Source organism: Homo sapiens, chromosome 4 (genome assembly GCF_000001405.40).
Source record: "Homo sapiens chromosome 4, GRCh38.p14 Primary Assembly".
Classification (NCBI taxonomy): Eukaryota; Metazoa; Chordata; class Mammalia; order Primates; family Hominidae; genus Homo; species Homo sapiens.
Window position 1 is genome coordinate 85,768,554 of NC_000004.12, and position 10,244 is coordinate 85,778,797.

Here is a 10,244-nt window from a genome sequence, read left to right on the forward strand (position 1 = left end):
TGGTGAAACCCTGTCTCTACTAAAAACACAAAAATTAGCCGGGCATGGTGGCGCGCACCTGTAAAAATACAAAAATTAGCCGGGTGTGGTGGCGCACGCCTGTATCCCAGCTACTTAAGAGGCTGAGGTAGGAGAATCGCTTGAACCCAGGAGGCAGAGGTTGCAGTGAGCTGAGATCGTGCCACTGCACTCCAGCGTGGGCAACAGAGTGAGATTCCATCTGAAAAAAAAAATGATAGACACAACTAAAGATGAGATCACTTGTGTAGGGGAGAAAAATTTCTCCTCTATCCTTTCAGGGTCTCCTGCTGGACCTAAAAATTAAACTGACATCAAACATATTAACATATCTTAGTCTCAGATAAGGTAAATTCAACAAAGATACTGGGATTAATAGACCCCACAAATGTTGATTGGAATGATAACAGAGACACTGCAGAGCCTAATTTATGATGAAGGATGAGGATCTTTTTATTGCTTAATGGTCAAATAGTGATGATGAAAAATATAGTATTCATATTAGAAATAGTCATATCCTTATGAAAAAAACGGTGATTAAAAGACATTCAAAAAAGCGATGATTGAATACTTGATAAAAAGAGGAATGGATATGAAGGAAGTCAGTTCACATGTGGTTATTTCCTAGCAGTTTCTCCCAGGTTAATGAGATTAGGGTCATTGGTGTGATTCATCCATTCATTCAAATCAGTAAACATTTATTAGGTAGTCATTTTGCCAAGCATCTTGACTCTTAGTAATGTATCATTGCACTTGTTTTTCTTAACCATCTGATAAGTTTTACAGTTAAATCTGAGGGTTTAAGGATGGAGATTTTTTTTGTGGGAAAAGAAGACACATTTATTGTGTTGCTTGTTTGCTTGTTTTTAAATGTCAACAAGTTTAGTAAATATGGCAAAAAATGGAATAAAGAAAGATAATGTTTTCTTTCCAAAAACCCATTTGTGTATATACATATGTGTGTATAATTATACATATATATGGATAGATATTGATAGCTTGATATCTCGATGGATACACAGTAAATTGTTAGTAGTGGTTAATCCTTTTTTTCTTTCTTCCTTTCTTTTCTTTTTTCTTTTTTTTTTAAACAGAGTCTCACTCTGTCACCGGGCAAGCGATTCTCCTGCCTCAGCATCCCAAGTAGCTGGGATTACAGGCGCCCGCCACTACGCCCAGCTAATTTTTTGTATTTTTAGTAGAGACGGGGTTTCACCATGTTAGCCAGGCTGGTCTTGAACTCTTGACCTCGTGATTTGCCCACCTTGGCCTCCCAAAGTGGTGGGATTACAGGCATGAGCCACCGCGCCTGGCCAGTAGTGGTTAATCCTTAAGAATAGTATTGGTGAGGGTAGAAAGGGTAGGAACTTTAAATTTTACATGATATACTTATATACTTATGTATATTGCTTTCCATTGAAGAGGAATTAAAATAAATGTAAGGAAATAGTCCAACTTTCTTATATTTGGTTGCACTGAAGCTTGGGATTGGCCAATAGCCCAGCACTGATGGACAATTTATTTTCATTATTTTCTGAACCACATTTGTGTGTCTAGGAACTTGTCAAAGAATACAGACCAAGGAAGGGCCTCCTCTATTCATTTCCAACATTCTACCTTGTAAATGTGGATTCACTCTTATTGTAAAAATGACAGTGTAGGGGAATTACACTTCTGGAAGAAATCTTCTTCTGTATAAACTCAAGAATCTTAATCCTCAGTGTGTTTGGGAGCCCAAGTAAGCTTAATATTTAAAAATTATTCAGCATAGTATGGTATCACATTTTATATCCAATGCTTTCTCACCTAAGAAAATTCCAATAGTCCTCCTATTGTTCACAAAATAAATGTCTCCCTACTTCCTAGGTTTGTTTTCTTGGGAGTCTTAGAAATAATTATTGTTGTTACCATTACAGTTATTTTGTCAATAACTGCCTGTTTTAATTTCTTTATAATACAACAGATATCCTCTCAATCCTCAAAGATGGATAAACCTTCAGCAAATTTAAAACATACGGGAGATAATTATCTCAGAGAATAGTTGAATTTCACATCTGAAAGAACCTTCAGAGTAATCTTACTAAATCCCCTTATTTTATATAGGAGAAAACAAAGTCTCTGTAAAGTGAAATGTTTTGGCCAAGGTCAAACAGCTAGTTGCTGACAGAACCAAGTTTGGAAACCTAATTAATTTTGGCTGATCTCTCCTGTTTGTACCTGGGAATGTTTGCTTTCCACACTGTGCCCATCCTCACCTTGGCCTAACCCAGTAAGGAAACTTTCCATATAAGAATGTCCTCACCTCAGAGAACGTTGCAGGAGTGGGGCAGGAGAGTGAACTGAGATTTGATTTAGTTGGGTGTTCATTAATATTGACTTACTAATGGTTACATTGAACACAATGAAGAAATAAAGCCTGTGCTTATTTTTTAAATAATCAAAATAGCTTGGGGGTCCCCATCTACTACCAATAGCTTTATATTTCATAGCCATGGTGTTTGCAAATATGTTCTTTTATATGGGAGACTACACACTATATCTGTGTATTAGTCAGACTTCTTTAGAGAAACAAAACCAAAAGGAGATATATAGATATATAGAAGGAGATTTCTTATGAGGGATTGGCTCACATGATTATGGTGGCTAAGAAGTTCCATGAACTTCTGTAGGCTGAAAGCCCAGGAAACCTAGTGGTATAGTTCCAGTCTAAGCCTGAAGGCCTGAGAACCAGAGGACCCAATGGTGTAAATCCCAGTCTGAGTCTGAGGGCCTGAGAACCAGTTGTACCAATGTCTGAGAGGAGAAAATAAATGTCCCAGCAAAAGCAGACAAAGTAAATTCACCCTTCCTCTGCCTGTTGTTCTATTCATGTCCTCGGCAGATTGCATTATGCCCACTCACATAGGTGAGGGCCATCTTCTTTACTCAGTCTCCTGATTCGAAGGCTAACGACTTCTGGAAACACAGTCACAGGCACAATCAGAAATAATGTTTTACCAGCTATCTGAGCATCACTAGACCCAGTCAAGTTTACACATATAATTAACCATCACAGCCCATTATCTGTGAATGTCTTCTAAAAGAGAAGCCTCAACATTTTGCATTGTTCTATACCTCTTTTTTTGTTTGTTTGTTTTTGTCCTTGTTTTGTTTTTTGAAATGGAGTCTCACTTTGTTGCCCAGGCTTGAGTGCAGTGGCACAATCCCAGCTTACTGCAACCTCTGCCTCCCGGGTTCAAGTGATTCTCCTGCCTCAGCCTCCCAAGTATGTGGGACTACGGGTGCGCACCAACACACCCAGCTAATTTTATATTTTTAGTAGAGACAGGGTTTCATTATGTTGACCAGGCTGGTCTTGAACTCCTGACCTTAAGTGATCCACCCACCTTGGCCTGCCAAAGTGCTGGGATTACAGATGTGAGCCACTGTGCCTGGTTGTTCTATACCATTTTTAAATAAAAATAAACTGTGGCACTAAAATAATTAATAAAATATTACAAATAGTTTATTAATCTGGCCTTTATTATTGACTATTGAGCAATGTGTCCAAATTGTGTAAGAATCTCCTGACTTAGGAGCTAGTTGCTCTAAAGCCCGTGACCTCGTTCTTGATACTATCATCGTCTTTAGGTCAGTATTAATTCCCACTTCATAGGTAGGGTGACATGTGTCCAAGTTTGCCTGTAAGAGTCTTGGATTTTATCTCCAATCTAATTGTCATTAACAGCAGTGCCTCCTCTTACTCTCAGAAAGTCAAGATTTAGACAGTAAGGTATAGGGTCATCCACAGGGGGTATAAAATATGTTAGAGAAGGAATTTTCCTATTCCAACTTTAAAACAAATCTCGGCATTTTCTCTTGTTTGAGCTGTATCTGCCCCTTTCTGTATTCAATGTCTTAGTTTTACCTCTTGCCTTCCTAGATTCATTGAAACTGAGTTAGCCTTCAAACTCCATGTAGCTCAAAACTCAATATTTGACTTGATGGAACTAGGGTATCTGCCAAGTTGACTTTCATTCTCGTTTCCACTGGCTGTCCTAGTATAGTGTGTGAATAAGTCTTCCAGACATGAAGATAATTAGATTATCAAGAGGAATTTGATGAAAGATTTGTACTTTGCAAAGTAGCTAAACATGTAGTTCCATAGAAACCATGCAAATACAATTGTTTATGTATTGAATCTCATATTTGGACATGCTGATGCCTAGGAAACCTAATTTTCTGCCCATGAAATTTCCTAAGATATTGCCAAATTATATTCTAAACAATGTCTTTGAGTCTAGTCACCCAATGTCCAAGTTTTGAAAATGTCCAAAATGTATGCTGCCCTCAAAGAGACAGGCAGTTTAGTATAAAGTATATGCGCCTCATAGACAGATGAATGTGATTTCAAATTGTGCGATCAGTCTTTTCAGTTATATGCCTCAGTTTCCTCGTCTGCAAATAGAATGTATGAAAAATGTCTTTTACATAATCAATTCTTATAAAATACCACTGATATTTTTCTGTAATTATTATATGGAGATATTGGAGTAAGTTTGCCTTCTAACATCTTCCTACCTGTAGTAATTTTAAAATATACTTTAGGGCCATCTCTCTCTTTCTCTCTGTCCTTCATGCCTAATTTCAGACTATCACAGTATCTTACTTATACATAGAAATGTCATAGTCCTTTAGACGACCTGTCCCAGAATTTTCTCTTCACTTAGTATTCTAAAACCATAATATCTCTTATTTAAAATCTTTCAATGGATACCCATTTCCTTGAGGATAAAAACCAAATTCCTGAGCCTGGCTTTTGCCTGTCTTCCTTTCTGCATACTTTATCCATCAGTCTTGGTTTTTCATTCCACATGCCAGCTCTATATAACTACTTGAAGTAACCCAAGTGTACTCTATCTCCTACTTGGAATGTTAATCCTCTCCTTCTGCATTCAAATTGTATTTTGGTTCTATCTCCTCAAGGCAGCCTTCCTTGGTTACTTCCTGTCTTGATTCCCTGCTGCTTCCATGCTCTCCTGTAAAGCAGTGCTTACCTCCACAATAGTCTGTAAATGTCTCCCACCTCCATTTCTGAGGCAAGAGTTAGTCTTCTTCTTTGTACCCAAGCATTTGGCACATTATATGGGCTCAACAAATATAGGCACGTCAATAAATTCAAGGAAGAAGAAAAGAATTTTTACTTTATTTTCCTGGGGAAATTTCTATTCTGAATAAGAAATATTATCATCAATGAGATAACAAGAAATTATTACAAAAACTTCATAACCTAGCACAAGGCCTTGTCCACAGAGACAATTAATAAATATTTTAGCTTTGATCCACTAATGAAATAAATGCCACTTATATATGTAGATTAATGTATAGTCAATACAATAGGAAAAGAGCACTTTTTGTTTTAATGACTTTGAATGAAGTTATTTGCCTCTGAGTGACACCAGTGCTCAGGCAAGAAATTCCCTCTCCCTGGTTGTCCTGGAAGGAGGGCTGTCATGGCACTTAGGGAAAGCCATTCTCTTCCTAACAAAGAATCACCCTCTCCCTATCTTGCTGTCACATGGCCACCTCTCTGATGTGGCCGTACTTGAAGTGTAGTGAGCCAGTCACATTATCCAACAATATGTTTGAGTCCCAGGACCCAGAGAGGCTGACTCACTAGAACAGGTAATTAGGAAGCAGTAGGACATGAGACAGGAGAGGAAATCTAATTTACAGCTCACTGGAGGGCTCTGAAAGAGTGTGCAGCAGAGCTTGGATGGGAGATTTAATTATCTTTGAGCTCACCTCTCCAAAATTATTTGGTCTCCCTCCTTTTCATTTAGAAAACATATGTTGCAAATGCAAAGATTTAGCCTTTGCTCGCAAGAGTTGGCAGGTGAGGGCAACTTCTTAAAACCACCTGGAAAGGATAGAATTAGCTCTAGGCTATCTGCTGTTTCAATAAGAAAAACTACTGCAGCATTCAGGAAATGAAAGAGATTTCCGGAAGCTCTTAGGACCTCTAGCAAATGTAATCACATATCTAGTTAGGTACATATATCCACAGACGATATTCTGGCAAGTCAAGATATTATCTGGCCTTTGTGTTAATACAATTCGAAAGGTTACAGGTATCTTATGTAGATACAACTACTTAGGGCCCAGCTGGGGCTCTTTCCTCATTTCCTGTCATTCCTAGCTGCTGGAGCCAAGGGGAGATTTGCAGTGTTAAGTCAATTGCAGAAGTAGATTAGATTTTGCCTTCATGTTTATGGACTTAAGTTAGATGTTTGTTGACAGAAGAATAGTAGCTCATGCAGAAAGTATAATTAATTCATTAAAGAAATATTTGTCAAATGCCTGTTTTATACTAGATACTGTTCTGAACACTAAGAGCAATGTGGTTCAAAAAGCCTAAATCTTAGGTTTCTAATCTTATTTATATATCGTGATATCTTTCTGATTTGATAAAACTTATTCTAGAGGAGACATAGCAAACATGGTTCAACTGACTACTAAAATGGATAATAAGTAAGGAAGAACAAAAGATCATTTCAGACATGGAAAGGGCTATGAAAGAAAATTAAAATGGGGAAATGGGATAGAGGGTATATGTGGGTGGGAGGATGCTTAACCAGAGTGGTCGGGAAATCTTCTTTCTGAGGAGGTGGCATTTGGTAGCATCATCCTGAATGATGAGAAGATCATTCTGTGAAAATATGAGGGAGGAGCATCCCACACAGATGTGATAGCAGGTTAGGAAATTCGGTAGGTGTATTAGTCCATTTTCATGCTGCTGATAAAGACTTACCTGAGACTGGGTAATTTATAAAGAAAAAGAGGTTTAATGGACTCACAGTTCCATTGGCTAGGGAGGCCTCACAATCATGACGGAAGGTTAAAGGCACATCTTACATGGCAGCAGGCAAGATAGAATGAGAACCAAGTGAAAGGGGTTCCCCCTTATAAAACCATCAGATCTCGTGAGACTTGTTCACTACCATGAGAACAGTATGGGGGAAACTGTCCCCATGATTCAGTTATCTCCCACTGGGTCCCTCCCACAACACCTGGGAATTATGGAGCTACAATTCAAGATGAGATTTGGTTGGGGACACAGCCAAACCATATCAGTAGGAAAGATAAACTGAAGCTAAATCATGTAGTACATAGGAGGCCATGGTTAGGCATTTGGATTTATACTGAGGGCAATGGGAGATTGTAGTAGGGCTGAAGCAGGGGAATTATGGGAAATCACTGGACAATGCAAAGCAAGAGAATAATGGAAAACCACTGGAAGGAATGAAGGAGAGTAATCATGGGAAATTGTTCAACAGTGAAGCAGGGGAATGATGGGAAAGATGAGAAATCATGGGTATAAGGAGGGGAATGATGATTCTGGTTCTCTGAGGAGAATGAACTGTGAGAGGTGTACGTATGTGCTGGAATTGGCTTAAGAGAGTTGATGCTTGAGATTTTTATGTGTGTCAGTTTCTTAAAACTGTTAAAAACTTCCATGCATGAAATCTGCCCCCAAGCATAGAATATTAGAATCTAGTAGCTGTTCATGCAGTCACTACCCTTCACTGCTATCACCAAAGAGCTCTCTGGGATTTCTTAGTAAAAGCCTTCTTCTAGTGTTACTATAAACCTGAAAACTGAGAGGAGGAGATCAAGAGTTAGAGAATTCCGACTGCCTTGCCTGTGTTAATATAGCCTGCCCTGGAGTTCACCTCTGCTGGAAATATTTCTTCCATCAGTGAAATTCAACACCACAGGGCAAATCTTCAAAATACAGTGAGTATTCCCCACTAAACTACACTAGTATTCTGAAATTCAGAGCATTCCCAGAGTAGGGCAACCTGGAGTGTGTCCCAGGACCCTAAATAGAGCAGAACACCAGTTTTAAAAATGGTTGCAAAAATGTTGTGCCGTTTTAGATTGTATTGGATCACATATTGACAGCACATGCTTCCCTTCCAATGGGTAGAGATGAGCCATTCCATGGATTTTGAAGTAGGTTTGAAGGCCAATTTCCTATTGCTTTCACTGGTCACCAAAATTGCTAGTTCCTTCTTTGTTTAGCCTATTTTAGGAGACTTTGGTTCTTGAATTCAATACCCATAATCTATTGTCTATGGCTCAGCCCACTCCTGTTCTAAACAATCTGTGACTTCTCTTCACTCTTTCCTTCCTTCCTGCAGCCATTTAACCCTCTGAATCACCTTGACTCATTCCATGTAAAACTCTATGTCTCCTCAAGGCCTATTACCTTACAAGGTCTTACTCATATTTCCTTCCTGCTCTTTCTAATGGACTAAAGGTAAAACTGTCAATATCGAAAGTAAAGCTTAAGAAGTAAAAGGAAAATACAGAATATTTTTAGCAAATGCAAGTAATATGTATCAATGTGTCCAACTCTTGTCACATTTGACATATTAATGTTGCTTAACCTTTGCATAGGGCTCAAACAGACATAATCAAATGAGAATAAAAGGAAAATAAGATGCTGTCATTGTGTCAAAAACCATGGTTTTCCAAAATTTCTTTCTCAACATTTCTGTTTTGAATCTCAGTTGCTTATTTGTCAGCATTAGAAAAGTGCTATCATACCCATTAATTTCTCAACATTTTGGAAAATGTGTTCCAGAAAATCTAATTGTCATTTTAAATATTAATTACATTTTATAATTATTTGGTCATAAGCATACTGCTTCCTGCCAAAGAACAGGGCAAGAGTAGATGCCTTAAAAGTAGACGAGAAATATTAAAACCAAACAGTGCATTTCTGAATTAAAGAATAGGTAACAGTTTGAAAATAGGCCTTGAATGATCTGAGCATTTCTCATTGTGTCTTGGAATTGCAAAGTGTAAAGAAGATTTTGCTTTAAAATTTAAGGAGCCAGATCAAATGGAAAGATTAATAGTGGCCAGAGTGATTTCAGTGTGGGCCACTTCATATTTTGGTTTACTTGATCTGGGCAGGATGTTTTAAGATTGGAGCAACCCAATCGATAGGATATAAAGAAATCAAGGACACATGTTTGAAGTGTGAGAATGAATACAGAAGTAGTCATAGAGAATTGACCTTACTTCCCATGCAAACCCTTTGATTTTATTTGAAAATTCCCTACTTTTCTAAGGAAGCTATTGCTTGTCTGTTACACTATTTCACGTGGGAGGGATGAGATAGATCTTATGAATGTTCGATAAATATTTGTTAAATAAGTGAATGAATGAATGAATACATTTCAAAAAGGTAATTTTAAAAATTATTATAATAAGCACATCACTCTTTCAGTTAGAAAAACATAATTTATTCACCAATAAATAGGAAATACATGAAAGACACCAATGAAAATTGTTATGTTGCTTCTCTGTTTTATTTAACAAATTATACAATCAACAATAATCAAAACCAAATGTGTGTATTCAAAAAATCTTGATAGATTGAAAGTGGGGATTTGTGATAATAGCAAATGTGTGTCTAGTTTAAGAGCCGTGGAGTAGTATCACTGATACTAGGTAGAACACTTATTCTGCCACCTGTCACAGCACCATGCCTTACTGAAGCAGTACTCTGTAAGGACTAATAAATGTTAGCATCCCTTGAAACATGGCAGCTCCTGAGTTGTAAAAATATTCTGGACAATCAGCAAAGGAAAAGATTATTTCCTAATATACAAAGAAATTGGAGATTAAAGGGAAAGTTTCAATATTAAGGATTTTAAATCCAAAGGAAATGTTTTCTCTGAGACAGTTCTCACATCCTAATTGTGTTACTGCTCCCTGCCAATTCCTTTGCTTATTATGCAAGGATATAGAGGAAAAGGCAAACTATTTCCCCTCAGGTATGTTAGTGTAGTGGAAAAAGCATTGAAGCAGGAGTTGTGAAACCTGGTTATTTGTTAACTGTGGCACTAACTAGCCGTGTGAGTGACCTTATACAAATCATATTTTTCTCTGGGTTTCACTTCCCTTATCTACAAAATGGGTTCACCCGGCTAAATTATATTTAAGGTCCTGATGAGCTTTCTATGATTCCTATTTCTTATTTTGTTTTGTTTTGTTTCTAAATGCTCAAATACTACATTATTTAAGGTATATTTCCTTGTAGGTTTTTTTTCCCCTCTCTGTCTCTTTCTTCAATATATGGGATGGGAGGATACTGACTAAGTCTGAGAAGGAGGAGAAAGAAAATTAGCTACAGGAAGAGTTTATATCCCCTTCTACAAGAAAACTTAAAT

General features: G+C 37.6%; 1 protein-coding gene across 3 annotated transcripts in view, besides 1 other annotated feature; it reads left to right on the forward strand.

Moving 5' to 3' along the window:
- Nucleotides 1–10,244, forward strand: part of ARHGAP24 (Rho GTPase activating protein 24) — a 527,517-nt gene that overhangs the window by 293,404 nt on the left and 223,869 nt on the right. Inside the window, exon 1 of one of the 3 annotated variants that reach the window (XM_047416235.1) lies at nucleotides 9,970–10,017. The exons of the other annotated variants lie outside the window; for them this stretch is intronic. The gene's annotated coding sequence lies outside the window, so the exon portion shown is untranslated. Of the gene's footprint in view, nucleotides 1–9,969; nucleotides 10,018–10,244 lie in introns of those variants that run through there. 3 annotated transcript variants of the gene reach the window in all.
- Nucleotides 5,233–5,773: an enhancer, noted in NCBI's record as "OCT4-NANOG hESC enhancer chr4:86694939-86695479 (GRCh37/hg19 assembly coordinates)". NCBI's record gives its function as "activates a minimal SCP1, AML or CMV promoter by ChIP-STARR-seq in naive H9 embryonic stem cells {active_cell/tissue: H9 hESC(naive)}" and the evidence as "EXISTENCE:reporter gene assay evidence [ECO:0000049][PMID:30033119]".